This window comes from Homo sapiens, chromosome 5, assembly GCF_000001405.40.
Source record: "Homo sapiens chromosome 5, GRCh38.p14 Primary Assembly".
Taxonomy (NCBI): domain Eukaryota; kingdom Metazoa; phylum Chordata; class Mammalia; order Primates; family Hominidae; genus Homo; species Homo sapiens.
In genome coordinates, this window is record NC_000005.10 from 23788726 (window position 1) to 23809990 (window position 21265).

Sequence of the window (21265 nt, forward strand, 5' to 3'; positions counted from 1 at the left end):
ATTTATATGAAAATTTACTGTCATCTCTCTTCTATGAAGGAATTCATCCTTTTGGGAAAATGGGTTATACAATAAAGTATTATAATCCTGGGGAATAATAGTGTAATATGTATTAGTCAAAAAGCCCTTGTATTGACTTTAAAATATCCAAGTAAATATTTTATTAGACAAGTATATGAAAATAAAGTTATTGGGCCAGGCGCAGTGGCTCACGCCTGGAATCCCAGGAGTTTGGGAGGCTGAGGCAGGCAGATCACTTGAGACCAGGAGTTGGAGACTAGCCTGGCCAACATAATGAAACCCCATCTCTACTAAAAATTCAAGAATTAGCCAGGCATGGTGGCACAGGCCTGTATTACCAGCTACTCGGGAGGCTGAGACATGAGAATCGCTTGGACCCGGGAAGCAGAGGTTGCAGTGAGCCAAGATCCCGCCACTACACTCCAGCCTGAGCGGCAGAGCAAGACTCCCTCTCAAAAAGAAAAAAGAAAAAAAAAAGTTCTTATCAAAAGCCTGCATCTGTTAGATTAATTTGGGAGCATCAAGGTAAGTACCTGAAGCCATTTTTAGAGATTACAGCTTGAGAAAAAGAGCTTCAAATTACGGTAAAAAGACTTCTCTGGAAATTCAGAAAGAGAAAAATTCAACCACTAAACTACTTAGATGGAGTTTCCAAAGAAGTAGGAGGCAAACCAGGTAAATATGTCATAGGAGTCAAAGAAAGAATTCAGAGGTTAGGATCAACATTCTCCCATCATTTTGATGTCTGAGACAAGGGTGCCAGCATGGTCAGATTCTGGTGTGGGCCCAATTTCTGGTTTACAGATGGCATTCTTGTGTCTGTGTCCTTACGTGGAGCAGAAGAGAGAGAGGTAACAAGCTCTCTCATGCATCTTCTTACAAGGGCACTAATCCCACTCAATAAGGGCTCCAGCTCTAGGATCTAATCATCCCCAAAGACTCTACCTCATAATACCATTACTTTGGCAGAATTTCATAATATGAATTTGGAAGGACACAAATATTCAGCCCACAACATAGAGAAATATGTTAATATTATGTAAATATTGTTCCTCATTTTTTTCTCATACTTTTAGTATTAATTGATATTTTCTAACTCCATTATTATTTCTCTTTAATGGTTGGTGTTCTACTACAAGGAAGAATGTTCCTGTTTAAAATTTATATGTATTATATGAACTCATGATTCTTCAGTTGTCCAATAGTTTATAATCCACTACTCTGTCTCTTTCTCTATATATGTGTGTGTATGTGTGTATATATGTATTATATGTGTGTGTATATATGTATATATATGATATATACATTACGTATGATATACAGATTTGTATATATCTATATATATACACACACATATAGATACACACACATATATATTCATTATATATAATATACATATATACACACACACATCCTGGCTCTTGCAACCTTTTGACATGTTTCTGTCTTAGTCTGCTTAGGCTGTGATGCTAAAATATTAATGACTGGGTGACTTAAATTGACTATAGACATTGTTTTTTCCTCACAGTTCTGGAGGCTGAACGTCTGACATTAGGGTACCAGCATGGTCTGGTTGTGGTAAGGGCCCTCTTCCTGGGTTACAGAAAGCTGCCTTCTTACTGCGGTCTTGCATGGTAGATCAATCTCTCTTTTTCTTCCTTTTCTTATAAGGCCACACCAATCCTATCAGATCAGGGTCCCACCCTTCTCATCAGTATTTGTTTTTAAACATAAGTTTATTTTCTATTAAGGTTTTCATGTATTTCTGTTTCCTTCTAAGATATTTACATTTTATATTTCTGGGATTTTAACATTCGTATATTTCATAATATATTTGAATGGTTATAACTTTATCTAACAATTATGCAATACTTTAGTATTTTTTTCCAAATTCCCTTAAATTCCATTAGTCAGTATTAATTTCTAGTATTTATGGACAAATTCTTAAGTCTGATCACATAACATTCCTTACTGCACTCTATTATTAATTAATTTAGTTGTATCATAACATATATACTGTAGTTCATTGATAGCAATATAGGTATTTTTAAAAGCTACACTAGTGTTTATTCCATAAGGACAGAATCATGCATATTCAATCTGAATTAAATAAGGTATGCAAGGGAAAATATGACAGTATAGTAAATGAGTGTACCAAAATCAACATCTAAGTTTAGAGTTCAATAAAAAATGTAATTATATTGGTCTGCTATGATTTATGATTTACTCTTGCTGTTTATTGCTCAGCAATTGATTATGATCCAGATGTTTAAAACTTTCTATTCCACTTTTTAATTTTCAGTTTTGTTGGAATTTTTATCTTATGGCCACTCTAAAGGAAGTGTGTAATTTCCTTTGAAGAGAAGAATATATATTAGAAAACTAAAGCTGTCCTCTGAGATTTTCTTAATTTCATGATCAGTATGCCTATAGGTGGTTTCACTAACAGTTGACAATATCCCACGCAGCAATAACAGACACCCATAATCCCTACCATCTTTGGTTAATGGCTCTGCCTTTTGGATCCACGTGCATGCAATCATTGCAAGACCTATTATAGATGTTTAAGCATTTTTATCTAGCTAGCAAGTAGGCAAATCCAGCAATTATAACTTAAATGTAAACTACATATTATTTGAACATATGTTATAGAGTAAAAAATTTGAAAGCTAAGAAAGAAATGAACAGTTATGTTTTTCTTTTCTTCTCTCTTACCCTGGAAAAAGAATCTATCTCACTCAGACTACTTTATTGTACTTAATGGTACAAAATATAAATATGAACAGAGAAAACAATAAATATAACAAAAGAAAAGAGTGATAACTAATAGCAAGTGGTTCAAGTAAAAGTATAAATAGAGATGTTGGAAAGGTAGTAACACATTTCTTCTGGCTAAGGAATAAAGACAGCTCAAGAGTTTAAGTTTGGTACATATTTGGATAATTTGGGGTATAAGAGGAGCACATATATTATGAAAATCAGTTTAAAGATACTTAGCAAAAAATTAAAAATTTACACTAGAAAAAATAAAGGAATTCTAGCCATAGAGCTTATGACAATTAAATCCAAGAGATCATGTATTTGTATAAGATACAAAAGAAAGTAAATGTTACATGCCTTTTAATCAAAGGAACAAAATATTTTTGCATACAAAACAGAGAAAAGAAAACCCTCCAAAAATAAATAATTAAAAGAGATGACTCTGTGAACGCTACCTGAATAATGTTCTGAATATTGTTTTTATTTTATGTATGAATCTATGTATGTATGTATATATGTATGTACGTATGCATGTATTTAAGATGGAGTCTCACTCTGTTGCCCAGGCTGGAGTGCAATGGCATGATGGCGGCTCACTGCAACCTCCGCCTACCAGGATCAAGTGATTCTCCTGCCTCAGCCTCCTGAGTAGCTGGGATTACAGGTGCACGCCACCACGCCTGGCTAATTTTTTATATCTTTGGTACAGATGAGGTTTCACCATGTTGGCCAGGCTGGTCTCGAACTCCTGACCTCAAGTGATCTGCCAGCCTCGGCCTTCCAAAGTGATAGGATTACAGATTTGAGCCACTGCACCCAGCCTGAATATTGTTTTTAAATGCTAATATGAAAACAGAAACACTCAAACTTGATTCAGGCCTTTATTTAGGGGACACTATTGGACAATTTAGAGAAATAAAAATTAATCTCCCGAATTTTTGCACTTGCGTTTGTGAGGAATATTGCATTGTAGTAATCTTCTGCAACATTTTTGTATGTGTTTGCTATTAAGGTGATTCTAGAATTCTGGCCCAACAAAATTAATTAGAAAACGTTCTCTTCCCTGCTCTTTTCAGAAAGAGTTTGAATATAATCATTTTTTTCCTTCTAAAATGTTTCTTTTAATTGACTGGGGAAGTGATTTGGGCCTAAGGTTTTTTTTTTAAAGTATGTATTCAATTGTTTAATAGATATAAGGCTATTCAGATTATTTATTTCTTTTTGTATATGTAATTTGTATGTTTCAAATAATTTGTTCATTTTCAAATATTTTGGCCTAAATTTGTTCAGCATATTCTCCTATTACCATTTTAATGTCCACAGGATGTATAAATAATATTGGTATATTCCTATATTGGCTGGTATTATTGTGCTTTCTCCGTCTCTGTTTTTCATGATCATTTTATAAAGAATTTAACAATATAATTATATTTTCAAAAAACCTATATTTTGTTTTCTTTCTGGTTTTCTAACATAAAAACCATTTACTCAATGACACATTTTCTAAGGGTTGCTTTAGTCTTACTCTACACATTCGATTTTATATTCTGTGCTTTTATTTCATTCTATTTAAAATATTTTAATATTGAATATTAAAATTATTTTTTTATGTTTACTGAAATTAAGGTTATTTGGGATGTTATTAAATTTCCAAATATTTGCAGATTATCAAAATTATCTTTCTCTTACTGATAACTAATTATATATTGGCCTAAACCACACTATGTAAAACAACTTGTTCAAATACTCTGAACTTTGGAGGTTATAGGGTTTATTCTCAGATATTAAAAAATAAATAAAACTTTGCTTTGCATGCATACACTTCATGAAACTTCTGTATTCTTCATCGTTAGCCAGAACCTCAGATAAGAGTGAGATGTGTCGGTCTCATACGCCAATCACATTGCTATTCAGTATGGCGCACATGGGCATGTGTTGACAAGTAAAAGTGTTGGGGTACAAAGCACACAAATGTGAAATCAAGTTTCTTATTGCCTAATGACCCCCGATGTGGTATCCAAAACAAAAATAAAGTGAGCATAATGTTTCGTTTTATTTTATGGTAATACTAATACGTGAATTCTTATCTCCAATACTTTGAAAAACTAATTAAATATACAAAAAATAATTTTAATGCCAAAATAATTATAAATGTTACTATAATAAATTAATTATTAAAATGTATCCTACAAGCATTTTCACCTAGAAATATGTATTTATGTTTCCTCCATGTCTTTTCATGGCTTGAAACGTATTTCTTTTTAACACTGAATATCTTTCACTATCAGGCACCACAGTTTATTTGCCCATTCACCTGCCGAAGAACATTGTTTTATTTTGTTTGTGCTGCTATATAGGAATACCTGAAGCTGGCTAATTTATAGAGAAGAGGTTTATTTGGCTCACAGTTCTCCAGGCTGTATAAGAAGTATGGCACCAGCACCTCATTCTGGTGAGGGCCTCAGGCTGCTTCCACTCATGACAGAAGGTTAAGGGGAGTTGGTGTGTGCAAATGACCTAGCAAGAGAGGAAGCAAAAGAGAGAACAGAGGAGGTGTCAGGCTCTTTTCTACAAGTTCTTCTGGAAACTGAGTGAATACCCACTCATGGCTGCAATAACAGCACCAAGCCATACACAGGGGATCCACCCGCACAACCCAAACACCTCGCATCAGGCCCCACCTCCCACACTGGTGAGAAAATTTCAACAGGAGATTTGGCAGGGCCAGACAAACCATACCCAAACTGTCTGACATTTTATCAATTATGAATAAAGCTGCTGTGAACATTCATGTGCAGTTTTTTGTGTAGACATGAGTTCTTTTACTCTTTTGAGCAAATACCAAGGGCTGTAATTGCTAGACTGTATTATTATTGTATGTTTGGTTGTATAATAAATCACCAAACTGCCTACCAAAGTGGCTATACCACTTAGTATTTGCATCAGCAATAATTGGAAATTCCTGTTGTTCTACATCCTCACCAGCGTTAAGTGTTGTCAGTGTTTTGAATTTTAAAGAAATGTGTAGTGGTAGCTCATTGTTGAGATGAGCAAACTCTTGATATATTCAGTGAAAGAAACATCTGTAAAGGCTGAAGTAACCTTTAGTAATGTGGTTGTGAGATGTGGGGTGGCAAAGAGAGAAGTGTTCTATAGTCCCATGAGCAGATTTAGTAAGTCTGTACCAGTGAACTGTGAACTTCATACATGCTTCTAAAATCCACCTGCCTGTCTTTGGTGAGAAAGAATGTCTAGAGTAGGCTACAACTGTGTCTTTGCCTTCTCTGAATCCATCTAGGTTCTCATTAAACCCAGCAGGTTAGTCTCTGGTAAAAACAGTTTCTCCTGCAGGTAGGTCTTGTTAAGAAAAACAGATGCTCTGAAGTATTTCAAAATGGTTATCTTTCCCCTCCCCCTGCCAGAAAAATCAGGGAAATTTTCTCTGATATTTACTGTAAGGACAGGGTCAAGCTGGTAAATTTCACAAAATGTGGGATCCTCCGGTGACTGAGTCCCCTTGGAGTTGTCATGTCTCAGGGATGATATTTCATATCTGATTCGTGAAATCAGAGATGTGATTTGTAAAATTTGTTCTACCTGCAGTAGAAAGTATTTAACCAGAGACTAACCTGCTTGGTTTAATGAGAACCCAGCTGAACTCGGAGAAGGGAAAGACACAATTTTAGCCTACACTAACTTGTCCACACTAAGCCTCCAGAAATTAATCACTTATAACGCAAGTTTCCCTACACCAATATGGGTTATCTTTGAGGTTCGTGCTTGAAGGTTTCTGCTCTGGTAAACCAAGACTTTGGCCCTCACCTGTAGGTCTCTCCAATTTGGTGAGCAGTGGTTTGCCCTGTGACCGCATTTCTATGAGAAACCTAAGGAATTTTTTTGTTTGTTCAGCTTTTGTTGTTTGGATGAAGTGGTGATTTCTAGCTTCTTACGTACCTGACAGGAGAGTTCTAGTAGATTTTTTAAACCTGCTTTTTGTTTTAATTGATTCACTATGCTGTATAATTCTTTCATTTCAGTGAGAAAAAAAATGGAAAGAAATATTCTCCAACATATATTGTTATACTAGGAAAATGAATTTAAAGAGAAATTGTGAAATTATAAAATGAAAGTTATGAACATATAAACTTTGATAGTGCTAGCATAATAAAATGAAACAAAGGCAATCGATCAATAAGCAAGCTAAGCTAATTGTAAATCCTTCCTCATTATGTTATCATTAGAAATTGAGATAAATTGGAAAATGCTTAAAAACTTCCTACAGCAAAAGTCTTTTCCTCTGAAATTAATTAAGAAAACATAGATCTCTTTGAAAACTTCCAACTAGGAGTAATTTAAATATGATCACTCAATTGCAAATAAAATAATTAATGTATTAATAATTTCAATGTTATTATTATATTTGCTTATAGATTAACTTGTTTCAGTAGCTTGGTTAACATTTGAAACAGTAATTAAAGAACGAAAAATTCGGTCAGTCATCCAGGTGTGTTATTTTCAAATGTAAAATAAATATATGAGATAGCTTGGTGTTGGAGATGCAGAATATAAATTAAATTAATTTATATTATATGTATAAATAATTACTTTATATATAAGTAATTGGTTTATATATATATACACATGTACATACATTTTCAAGTGAATATTAAGTTTGTTAGATTTACACTTACTATTTCCACTAAGGAATTAAAGTTTAACTTGTATTAATGTTATATGTACATATAGTGAATATTCTTTCTTAGGAAATTTATTCAAAAGGAAACAAAGAGAAAAGATGATGTCGTTCTAATACAAATAATGACAATGTTAAAAAAAAAAGCAATAATCCAAACTCTATATTCCACAATACCAGGATACTTTGATACCTTTCTTATGTAGTATCTAGGAAAATATAATACCAAATAAAGAAAAGTTCAAGTAAGCATAAGGAAGGATTCTGAGAAAGCTTTTTAGGTTGCATACATCCCACAAAGCCAACAGAGCACCTTTCCCTAAATAATATGGCACATTTAAGGAAAAAAAGCTTCAAGTTGTATTTCAGAATCGATGTAGAGAAATTAAACCAGGTTGTAAGAACTGATGGTGAGGCTGTATTTGACATCAGGAAGATTCAAAGAAAATGGCCCTGAATTGTAAATTATATATATGAATTCTCATGAAAAGGACCATTATTGAGGCATAGTGGATAACTTTGGAGTTGTAAACTGACTTGAAATATATACTGTAAATATATAACTCTGTGTATATGTATTATATCTGTACAAATATGATCGTATGGCATACCTAAGTTCTTCGTACAACCTGGAGAATTACTAATAGCCAGTCACATAGTCCTTGTCTCTCCTTCACATTAATTCTCTCTATTTGCTTTTCTAGTTATTTGTCATCCCATTATTAAAAAAATCAACAAACTAAGAAATAATTACAGAAACTAGACAATATCACTTCAAGAAAAAAATAACAAAGGTAAAATAACAAACAAAGCTTCCAAAACTTCTGGAACTTTGTACAACAAATCAAGAGAAGTTAAGAATTTAGCCAAATGAATTGCTACTAATAATATAATAACAATAATGAGATAACCACACCACAAAATGAAGAACTAAAGAAGCTACAGGCCGGGCACGGTGGCTCACGTCTGTAATCCCAGCACTTTGGGAGGCCGAGGCAGGCGGATCACAAGGTCAGGAGATCGAGACCATCCTGGCTAACATGGTGAAACCCTGTCTCTACTAAAAATACAAAAAAATTAGCCAGGCATGGTGGCATGTGCCTGTAGTCCCAGCTACTCAGGAGGCTGAGGCAGGAGAATAGCTTCAACCCGGGAGGCAGAGGTTGCAGTGAGCTGAGATTGTGCCACTGCACTCCAGCCTAGGAGACAGAGAAAACTCCGTCTCAAAAAACAAAAACAAAAACAAACAAACAAAAAGCTGCAGAAGCTGACAGAAATACAGTTAGACAATATAAGGAAATAATTCCAAAGATGACAGAACTGAGGAAAAAGATGAAAGTGTAAAATAAAAACATCAGTAATGAAGGCTACATTTAAAGCAGTGTAGGAGAATAGACACTGTTGAAAACAATGTAAATGATATAAAGGACAGGATTACTAACCAGAAAAAGATAAAATGGATCACGGTAGAGTTAATTTAAGGAGAAAAGAAGCTCACAAGCCATACAAAGATGTTAGGTCATGTCCCACGAAGAGCGACCAAAGCAGTGAAACAAACAAAAGGAAATCATCAACCCTGTATAGTAGACAGCCCCCAAAGGTATCCACTTTCAAATCCTGAGGACATATGAATATATTATGTTACCCGGCAAGAAAGATTTTGCAGATATGATTAAGTTTATGAACCTTGAGATGGATAGATTGTCTCAATTGTCCAGTTGGGTCTGAATTAATCGTATGAATTCTTAAATGCACAGGACCATTCTGGGCTGTGGCTAGACAAAGAAAAATGAGGAAAGAGGAAGGGTCAGAGAGATGTGAGTTCCCAGCTTTAAAGATGAAGGAAAGCGTCATGAGCCAATTAATTAATTCAGGGATCTTCTAGAAGTTATAAAAAGCAAGAAACAAAGCACCCCCCAGATCCCCCAGAAAGCAGTGCATCTTTGCTGATGCCTTGATTTTAGCTCAATATTATCACTGTCAGACATGTGAGCTAATTTATATTCTGTAGTTTTGTGTTACTTTAACTTGCAAAGGTCATGAGAATGTGCATGATAGGGATAGAAAACCCACATACCATGAAGAAAACCAGACATTTCCAATGTTTGGAATATTGGCTAGTGAGCATATACTTTTCTACTTGAACAATAAATAATGCAGAAATTCAAGTAAAAGAAATCATGAATCTATAGATTGAAATGCCATACACCATCCCAGGAAAATGTGGTAGAGTAATCAAACTTAGTCATATCCTTGTCAGTTGCTTGCACTTCAAAGATAAAAAAAGAATTGTCAAGTACGTAGTTAAAATGGCATGCCACAAATTAAGATTTGAAAATTGGGTTGGTCCCAGAATTTTCCAAAGTAAAGTTATGAGTAGAAGAGAGAGAAACTTTTTTACAAAATTTTCAAGAAAGGAACCCTGCAGATAAATGGACAGATCACAGTGACTAACTGCCTCTAGTCTAAGAGGTTATCTAAAACCCAGTTTATTTGATCATATAATTCTACTGTCCCTTAGGGTGTTTTACTCATTTAAATGGTCAAATAGAATCATTCCTACTGTGTCAATATTGCAGCTTGCAAAAGAAAGAAGAAATAGAGGACAAGTAATTTTCTCTTTTGCATATGATCCAAATAAGTTGCTTATCTCCTTTCTGCATCCAAGAGCTCAGAATAAGTTAGGTGGCCACCATCATTAGATCCAAGGGAAGCTGGGAGTGCATTAGTGCTGTGTTGCCGTGTACTTATTTGAAACTTCACGATTTATTTATTTATTTATTTATTTATTTGGGACAGAGTCTTGCTCTGTGGCCCAGGCTGGAGTGCAATGGTGCGATCTTGGCTCACTACAAGCTCCGCCTCCTGGGTTCATGCCATTCTCCTGCCTCAGTCTCTCGAGTAGCTGGGACCACAGGTGCCCGCCACCACACCCAGCTAATTTTTTTTTTTTTTTGTATTTTTAGTACAGATGGGGTTTAACCGTGTTAGCCAGGATGGTCTCGATCTCCTGACCTCGTGATCCACCCATCTCCGCCTCCCAAAGTGCTGGGATTAAAGGCATGAGCCACCGCGCCTGGCTAAAACTTGATGATTCTATTTCAGATATGGTTTGGCTGTGTCCCCACCCACATCTCAACTTGAATTGTACTTCTATAATTCCCACATGTTGTGGGAGGGACCAGATGGGAGGTAATTGAATCATGGGGTTGGTTCCCCAATACTGTTCTCATGTAGTGAATAAGTCTTTATCAGCAGTGTGAAAACAGTAAATTGGTATCGGTAGAGTCGGGTGTTGCTGAAAAGATACCTGAAAATGTGGAAGCGACTTTGAAACTGGGTAACAGGCAGAGGTTGGAACAGTTTAGAGGGCTCAGAAGAAGACAGGAAAATGTGGGAAAGTTTGGAACCTCCTAGAGATTTGTTGAATGGCTTTGACAAAATTGCTGATAGTGACATGGACAATGATGTCTAGACTGAGGTGGTCTTAAATAAAGATGAGGAACTTGCTGGGAACTGGAGCAAAGGTGACTCTTATTATGTTTAAGCAAAGAGACTGGTGGTATTTTGCCCCTGCCCTAGAGATTTGTGGAACTTTGAATGTGAGAGATGATTTAGGATATCTGGTGGAAGAAATTTCTAAGCAGCAAAGCATTCAAGAGGTGACTTGGGTGCTGTTAAAAACATTCCATTTTAAAAGGGAAACAGAGCATAAAATCAGAAAATTTGCAGTCTGACAATGCAGTAGAAAAGAAAAAAAAACATTTTTTGAGGAGAAATTAAAGATGGCTGCAGAAATTTGCATAAGTAACAAGGAGCCGAACGTTAATTCCTAAGACAGTGGAAAAAATGTCTCCAGGGCATTTCATAGGTCTTCTTGGCAGCCCCTCCCATCACAGACCCAGAAGCCTGGAAGGAAGAAACGGTTTCATGGGCTGAGGCCTGGGTCCCCATGCTGTGTGCAGCCTAGGGACTTGGTGCCCTGCATCCCAGCCACTCCATCTGTGGCTGAAAGGGGCCAACATCAAGCTCAGGCTGTGGCTTCAGAGCATGCAAACATCCAGCCTTGGCAGCTTCCATGTGGTGTTGAGCCTTCAAGTGCAAAGAAGCCAAAAATTGATGTTTGTGATCCTCTGCCTAGATTTCAGATGTATAGAAATGTCTGGGTGCCTAGGCAGAAGTTCACACAGGGGCAGAGCCCTCATGGAGAACTGCTAGGGCAGTGTGGAAAAGAAATGTGGGATCAGAGCCCCTATGCAGAGTCCCTACCAGGGCACCACCTAGTGGAGCTGTGAGAAGAGGGCCACCGTCCTCCAGATCCCAGAATGGTAGATCCACCGAAAGCTTGCACCATGCACCTGGAAAAGCTGCAGACACTCAACGCCAGCCCATGAAAGCAGCCAGGAGGTGGGCTATACCCTGCAAAGCCACAGGGTGGAACTGCCCAAGACTATGGGAACCTACTTCTTGCATCAACGTCACCTGAATGTAAGACATGGAGTCAAAGTCATTTTGGAGCTTTAAAATTTGACTGGCCCACTGGATTTCAGCCTTGCACGCCCCGCCCCCACCAGCCCCTTTGTTTTGGCCAATGTCTCTCATTTGAATTGTTGTATTTACCCAGTGTTTGTGCCCCCATTATATCTAGGAAATAACTATCTTGCTTTTGATTATACAGGCTCATAGGCAGTAGGGACTTGCCTTGTCTCAGGTGAGACTTTGGACTATGGGCTTTTGAGTTAATGCTGAAACGAGTTAAGACTTTGGGGGACTGTTGGGAAGGTGTGATTGGTTTTGGAATGTGATTTACATGAGATTTGGCAGGGTCCAGGGGTGGAATGATATGGTTTGGCTCTATGTCCCCATCTAAATCTCATCTTGAATTGTACTACTATAATTCCCACATTTTGTAGGAGGAACCTGGTAGGAGATAATTGGATCATTGGGGTGGTTTCCCCCATGCTGTTCTCATGGTAGTGAATATGTCTCATGAGATCTGATGGTTTTATCAGGGATTTCTGTTTTTGAGTCTTCCTCATTCTCTCTTTGCCTGCTGCTATCCATGTAAGACAGGACTTGCTCCTTTTTGCCTTCTGCCATGATTGTGAGGCTTCCCCAGCCATGTAGAACTGTAAGTCCAATTAAACCTCTTTCTTTTGTAAATTGCCCAGTCTCAGGTATGTCTTTATCAACAGCGTGAAAGTGCACTAATACAATTTCTAAAAACAAAAGGAAACAAAACAAAAACAGCAGGCAAAAAAATTAGGAAGCAGTTAAAAATGTTTACCCTGGTATACTGACATTTCTATGTATGTCATTGTCAATAACTTTCTAAATAAACTACTACTTACTGAATCCATCTCATCATCCAAGTGCTTGGGGTAGGCCCTATACTTTTTAGCAAATCAAGATGATATGTCTTTTTATTTCCTGGTGATTGTTACACTAAAAATAGTTTGCTCTACCCAATATAAATTGGTGAAGTAGGAAGGATAATTACAAAAAGAAAAAAATGTGAAGAATGGAAAGCACACTGCAGTCAGTATTTCATAGTAGTTATGAATTACTTTACAGAAATTATAGAAACTCCCTTCTCTTTATGGAGAAATTTTCATGATTAGCACATTGGGCAACTCTTAATTCTCCCTTTGAAATTCTCTTGTGTGTTATCCTCCATGACCCCTGGATTTCCAATGAAGAAAAACCATTCTACTACACTATCCTCTTTGGCCCCATCTAAAGTGGGCAATGAAGTTTATAGACTGAAGTTTATGTATCTTTGGGGATACAGATATCCTCAGAGGATTTTGGTCTATTTGCTTGCCACGATATTAACAGCAGCTGATCACATCTGGTCACAATTCCTAAGACAGATCAGCTGAAATAGCAGGCATGGAGTGAATTGGGGAGAGCCGTACCATTCATCTCTTCTTTGGAGTTGAGCTGGCTCTCACTGTCTTTCACTTAACTGTAGGGTCTTGAAAAAAGACTCAATGACAATCCTATCTCCTGCTGTTTGGGCTCCAGAAGCCCTTGATTTTTCCAACTTTGAGGACCAACATTACCAAAAGTTCAACCAATTTAAATTGCAGGCCATAATCACAGAAATTTCCTCAGAGAGGTGTGGAATTCCCTTCCATTTCTACTAGCAAATTCGGATTTTTGCTAGAATCAATCAGTCTCTTGTATCACTCTGCTAGAAGCATCAAGGAGTACCAGTAATTGTAGTTTTTCTAATCACTTTTACAGAACTACAAGTTCAATAAGCCCATGTTCTGTGTTCTAAGTTATCACAGGTGACAGTCTTAACACCTGTAATTGCCAAGATGAAGATGACCAACTTTCTATTTTGCACTATGTATACTGCCTCTATGCCAACTGCTAAGCCAACAATGTGTATTTTAGACTTTTTTGTTATAATAGCACACGCTTCCAATTATCAATTTTATATATTCATGGAGTATAAGTTAAGCCTCTGTAACAAAGAGTTCCAACACAGGACAGCCATTTCTTTATTTTTATGTAATGGCACAGAGGATAATTTTTAGTCCAGAGTGAGTAGAAAACTCTGCTCCACAAAGACATCTAGGTTCTTTCAATATTTCTAGCTTGTGAAACACTCCCTAAGTTGTATCCCTAGTATGCATCACCAAGTGGCTCAATATCTCTGCCTTCTAGCCTGCAGAACTGAAGATGTGAAGGGCAATCTTCTTCTTAAGGTGGTGCCTATAATCTATGCATATCATTCCCACAGGACTCACTGTCCATAATTAGTTGTAATGCCAAACCTCTTTGCAAACTAAGCTGAGAATGTGCTGGCACTAATTCAGTATTTTTACTATGAAGAACAAAATTTTACAAGGGAAAAGAAGGCAGCTTCTGCTTGACATCAAAAAACAATGGAATTATTGACTTTTTACTATGTTCCAGAAACTATTGGATTAACCACTGGCTTTACAAGAACTTAATTTATTAACAGCTGAATAATAGAAATAAAATATTCAAGTAAAAGTGTCTAAGTGGCACATGTAAATAATATAAATTAAAATTTATTAAATTATTCACTATATCATAGAACAAAAATCTTGTATTATTCATATCAATTACTTGTTTCCAAAATGTCAATTTACTTTTATAATATGGTCTCTAATTCAAGTACTTTACTTTTTAAACATTTTATGATATGTATCTCTAAGTAAAAATATATAAAAATAACATCTGAAATATATAAAATAAAGAAATAAGTCATATGTAGTACTAGTTATTGCTTTTCTGAATAAAAAATAAATACAAGATTAGAGTAAAAATGTAAAGATTCAAGATAATGTTTAATTTTAGACTAATTTATAAATACAAATTATAACATTCTGTGTGTCTTTACCATTTTTACACAAATAAAGTTACCTTAAATTTTACTCTAGACTTTTATTTTTAATATTGCTTTAATTACTGACTTTTCTGTAAATGTATTTTTTTTTTTTTTTTTTTTTTTTTTTTAGTTTACTTGCTTCTGAGCTAATTTGATAGCAAAAAACAGGTTCTTCATTTTGGTAGCACTAGTTTTTGCCATCATAAACAAAATGGGATCATATATGATCATGTTAAGAGCTCAAGGTAAATTCCTTTGTCCCAAATGTTTGATAAGAAAATGAATATATCTTAAATTTAATTACCCTGTCATGTGAATTATATAATAATTGAATTCATAACTTCAGATTAAAGATTTATGATTATATATAAAATATTTGCTTATATTTAGTATATGACTACATTTATAGAGACAAAATACAATTAGCATTTCATATTTATGTGCTTAAAGACTCATTTCTAATCTTGTTTTTTTAATTTTATTACTTTTATAATCAATTTTTATGATAGTTTTCAGAGAAATGACACATTTTACTTTTCTATTTGTTTGAAAGTTTTTTTTTAATCATATGTGATGGTTGCTACTGAGTGTCAACTTGATTGGATTGAAGTATAGAAAGTATTAATTCTGGGTGCATCTGTGATGGTGTTGCCAAAGCAGATTAACATTTGAGTCAGTGGGCTGGGAAAGATAGAGCCACCCTTAACTGGGTGTGCACCATCTAATCAGCTGCCAGCAAATATAAAGCAGGCAGAAAAACGTGAAAAGGAGAGATGGGCCTAGCCTCTCAGCCTACATCTTTCTCCTGTGCTGGATGCTTCCTGCCCTCAAACATCAGACGTCAAGTTCTTCAGTTTTGAGACTCTGGCTGGCTCTCCTTGCTCCTCAAGCACGCAGACAGCATGTTGTGGGATCTTGTGATCATGTAAGTTAATAATTAATAAACTCATATATATTTATATTTTATATATATATACAGACATACATATATGTATATGTATGTGTATGTGTGTGTATATATATATAGACATATATATACACACATACACATACATAGTCCCTGGCTAATACAGATTTTGGTATAAGGAGTGGTTCTAGAGGAACAGAATATTAAGGATGGAGTTCTTTTTTTGGTTTTGGGGTTTCTGGAGTTGGCTTCTTAATATTATTAGACCCCAAAATGCTGAGGACTCTACCTAATAGTATGGAGAACACTGATAGTCCTTGGCATAAAGTGTTTACAGAGTTATGCAAAATAAACACATTTGACACTCCTGATTCACCACTTGTGAGAGACAAGGAGTTTAGTTACTCTATCCATAATACCTTTGACCACATGTGGAGAATCAAGGAACATAATGAAACTGGTAGCTTGCTCCTAAGTTCAGTGGACAAAGTGATTAAAGAAAATGATGAACTCAGGGATTCTGTCTCCCGGCTTCAGAAGCAGATACTGAGCCTTAAAACTGCTAAGACTGCACTGAGTGAGAGTTTTATCTCCTGTAGACAAAGAGCTGAAACTTTGGAAAAAGAGACACAAGCTCTTAACACATGAGGGGCTGACCTGCAATGAAAGGTGCATGCACAGCCTCACCAGGTGTCTACTGTTAAAAGGAGGGCATTACTGGAAAAGAATGTGACCCTGCAACTTGGAATGGGGAAGTATGGGAAGACCCTGATGAAACTGGGGCCACTGAGTTTGTAAACTCTGATGAACCTTATTTGCCTGAAGGAACAGCTTCACCGTCCCCTGTAGTGGCAACATCCCCTCCTAGACCCATGCTGCCATCAGCCTTTACACCTTTGTCTGAGGAGATAAACCCTGTGCTGCCTGAGGCAACAGTGAGGGCCTTCCCTGGGGCAGTTACCAGGCAAAATAATGTTGATTCTCCCCAGGAACCACCCCCAAAACCCCTGTTTGCTTCTAGTTATCTAACTAAAGTCCTGGCAGGTCCCTTGAGGTGAGGTTGCATGCTACACTTGAAAAGAACTGTTAATTTATGTAAACAGAAACCTGGAGAACAGGCATCAGAATGGATATTAAGGTTATGGGATAATGGTGGAAGGAACATAGAGTTGGGTCAGGCTGAATTTATTGATTTGAACCCACTAAGTAGGTACTCTGCTTTTAATGATGCAGCTCAGGGAGTTAAAAAAGTTTCTAATACTTTGTCTGCCTGGTTAGCTGTCCATAAGGCCTACCAGAAGCAATTTGCCTTTAGCTGGCAAGCCCAGCAATATGCCTTTACCCCTGAGGGGTATACCTTTACCTCAGAGGTATATCAACTCTCCAGCTTTGGGTCATAATCTTATTTGGAGAGAACTTGATTGCTTTTTGTTTCCACAACATATCACTCTGGTCCATTACATTAATGACATTATGCTGATTGGATACAGTGAGCAAGAAGTAGCAAACACACTGGACTTATTGGTGAGACATTTGTGTGCCAGAGGATGGGAAATAAATCTCACTGAAATTCAGGGACCTTCTACTTTAGTAAAATTTCCAATGGTCCAGTGGTGTGGGCCCTCTTGAGATATTCCTTCTAAGGTGAAGAAAAAGTTGCTGCATTTTGGCCCCTCCTACAAGCAAGAAAAAGGCACAACGCCTAGTGGGCCTATTGGATTTTGGAGGCAACACATTCTGCATTTGGGTGTGTTACTCCCACTCATTTATCAAGTGACCCAAAAGGCTGCCAGTTTTGAGTGGGGTCCAGAAAAGGAGAAGGCTCTGCAACAGGTCCAGGCTGCTGTGCAAGCTGCTCTGCCACTTGGGTAATATGACTCAGCAAATACAATGGTGCTTGAGGTGTCAGTGGCAGATACGGATGCTGCTTGGAGCTTCTGACAGGCCCCCATAAGTTAGTCACAGCAGAGGCCTCTAGGATTTTGGAACAAGGCTCTGCCATCTTCTGCAGATAACTACCCTCCTTTTGAGAGATGGCTGTTGGCCTATTACTGGGCTTCGGTGGAAACTGAACATTTGACTATGGGTCATCAAGTCACCATACGACCTGAACTGCCTATCATGAACTGGGTGCTTTTTGACCCATCTAACCATAAAGTGGGTCATGCACAGCAGCATTCCATCATCAAATGGAAGTGGCTATATATATGATCAGGTTCGAGTAGGTCCTGAAGACACAAGTAAGTTACATGAGGAAGTGGCTCAAATGCCCATGGTCTCCACTCCTGTCACCCTGCCTTCTCTCCCTCATCCTGCACTGAGGGTCTCATGAGGAGTTCCCTATAATCAGTTGACAGGGGAAGAAAAGACTAGGGCCTGGTTCACAGATGGTTCTGCACGATATGCAGGCACCACCCAAAAGTGGATAGCTGCAGCACCACAGCCCCAAGGTAGGACATCCCTGAAGGATGCGGTGAAGGGAAATCTTCCCAGTGGGCAGAACTTCAAGCAGTGCACCTGGTTGTGCACTTTGCATGGAAGTAGAAATGACCAGATGTGCGATTACATGTTGATTTATGGGCTGTAGCCAATGGTTTGGCTTAATGGTCAGGTTCTTGGAAGAAACATGATTAGAAATTTGGTGACAAAGAAATTTGGAGAAGAGGTAGGTGGATGAGCCTCTCTGAGTGGTCAAAAACTGTGAAGATATTTGTATCCCATGTGAGTACTCACCAATGAGTGACCTCAGGGGAGGAGGGTTTGAATAATTAAGTGGATACGATGACCCGTGCTGTGGACACCACTCAGCCTCTTTTCCCAGCCACCCCATCATCACCCAATAGGCCCTTGAAGAAAGTAGCCATAGTGGCAGGGATGGAGGTTATGCATGGGCTCAGGAACATGGACTTCCACTCAACAAGGCTGACCTGGCTACGTCTACTGCTGAGTGCCCAATTTGCCAGCAGCAGAGACCAACACTGAGCCCTCGATATGGCACCATTCCTTGGGGTGATCAGCTAGCTACCTGGTGGCAGGTTGATTATATTGGATCTCTTTCATCAGGGAAAGGGCAGAGGTTTGTCCTCACAGGCATAAACGATTACTCTGGATACGGATTTGCCTAACCTGTACACAATGCTTCTGCCATGACTACCATTCATAGACTCACGGAATGCTTTATCCACCATCATGGTATTCCACACAGCATTGCCTCTGTCCAAGCCACTCACTTTATGACTAAAGAAGTGTGGCAGTGGGCTTATGCTCATGGAATTCACTGGTCTTACCATGTTCCGTATTATCCTGAAGCAGCTGAGCAGCTGGATTGGTAGAACAGTGGATGACCTTTTGAAGTCACAATTACAATACTATGTTGAATAAGAGTGGTGAGAGAGGGCATCCTTGTCTTGTACTGGTTTTCAAAGGGAATGCTTCCAGCTTTTGCCCATTCAGTATGATATTGGCTGTTGGTTTTCATAGATTTTGTTATTTTGAGATATATTCTATCATTACCTATTTTATTGAGGGTTTTTAACGTGAAGTTAAATGATGTTAAATCATTTAACTTAAACCATGATGTTAAACTTTATCAAAGACCTTTTCTGCATCTATTGAGATAATCATGGGGTTTTTGTCTTTGATTCTGTTTATGTGATGGATTACGTTTATTGGTTTGCATATGTTGAAGCATCCTTGCATCCCAGGGATGAAGCCGACTTGATCGTGGTAGATAAGGTTTTTTTGATGTGCTGCTGAATTGTTTGCCAGTATTTTGTTGAGGATTTTCTCATCGATGTTCCTCAGGGATATTGGCCTGAAGGTTTTTGTTGTTGTTGTGTCTCTTCCTGGTTGTAGTATCAGGATAATGCTAGCTTCAAAAAATGAGTTAGGGAGAAGTCCTTCCTTTTCAATTGTTTGGAACAGTTTCAGAAGGAATGGTACCAGCTCCTCTTTGTATTTGTGGTAAAATTCAGCTGTGAATTCGTCTGGTCCTGGGTTGTTGTGGTAGTTTTTTTTTTGGGGGGGGGGGTGGTTGGCAAGCTATGAATCACTGCTTCCATTTCAGAGCTTGTTATTGGTCTATTCAGGGTTTCAACTTCTTTCTGGTTTAGTCTTGGTAGAATGTATGCGTCCAGTAATTTATCCATTTCTTCTAGATTAGATAGTTTATTTGCGTAGAGGTGTTTATAGTATTCTCTGATGGTAGTTTGTATTTCTGTGGGATCAGTGGTGATATGCCCCTTATCAGTTTTTATTGTGTCTATTTAATTCTTCTCTCTCTTATTCTTTATTAGTCTAGCTAGTGGCACAGTACAGTTTTTATCTAAAATAACGATACAAAAATTAGCTTAATTTTGCTAAACAAGTATATAAAACAACCTTTTTTTAAAGTAATTTCTCTAATGCTTTTACCAGAGGAACATGTTTTTATTTATTTTTATCTATTTATGTTTATTATTTATTTATTTGAGACTGGGTCTCACTCTGTTGCCCAGGCTGGAGTGCAGTGGTGCAATCTCAGCTCACTGTAACCTCTGCCTCTTGGGTTCAAGTGATTCTCATGCCTCAGTCTCCAAAGTAGCTTGGATTATGGGCATGTACCACCACACCCAGCTAATTTTTGTATTTTTAGTAGAGACAGCATTTCACCATGTTGCCCAGGCTGGTCTTGAACTTCCAGCCTCAAGTGATCCACTCACCTCTGCCTCCCAAATTTCTGTGATTACAGCAATGAACCACCACACCCAGCCAATTTTTAGTTTTTCAATTTGTCTTCTTTCAGGTGGCAAAATCTGCCTACTTCCTTTGTCTCCTATAAGCGATGATAACCATCCCATCTATCCAACACCACCCACCAAAAACGGAAGCGATTTTTTTGTTTCGCTAGATCCACAGTCCCTTCTTAGTTTTTCTTGTATTTATTTCTTTCTTTTTAATGTCAGTTTTCTCCCATAGTTCAATGAAAAAGGCAGGGGTTTTTGAAAAAATGAGTAACTGACCTCTTTCTTACTGACCCAGGTGATCACCCTCACCTAATTCTTGAGCTATCTGTTGCCATTGAAATAGGGTCAATCTTCTCTAAACAGCAATTTCTTTAAAAATAATTTCTCCATCATGCTTGTAAAGTATCTATATCTTAACTGTCTAACACATTTATTAGCACAGTTTTAGCAAACAGTATCACCAAAAACATCTATTAGAAAACTCATAGGTGATGACCAAATAGCTAGAGAACAGCATCGTAACACATGAAGTGAAGAAAAAACAGGGGACAGACAGAAAGACATGAACTCTCTCCAGACAGACGTCAGGAGGACAGATAGGGACCTAGAGGCTTGGAAACCTTGCTGACATAAAGGTAACTGGCCTTAAATCCAAAGAACTGATACGACCTTAGTAGTACTGTCTCATAATAAAACAAGGTTATGTCTAAACATAAGGACATATACATTTCTATAGTAGAAATATGTACTATGTTTAGTAATCTGAAAGTTTAAATATCATTTTAAATTGG

General features: G+C 37.3%; 1 long non-coding RNA gene across 1 annotated transcript in view; it reads right to left on the reverse strand.

The window, feature by feature from the left end:
- The window catches only part of LOC107986377 (uncharacterized), a 57078-nt gene that overhangs the window by 16519 nt on the left and 19294 nt on the right, over positions 1 to 21265 (reverse strand). The gene's annotated exons all lie outside the window — the stretch shown is intronic.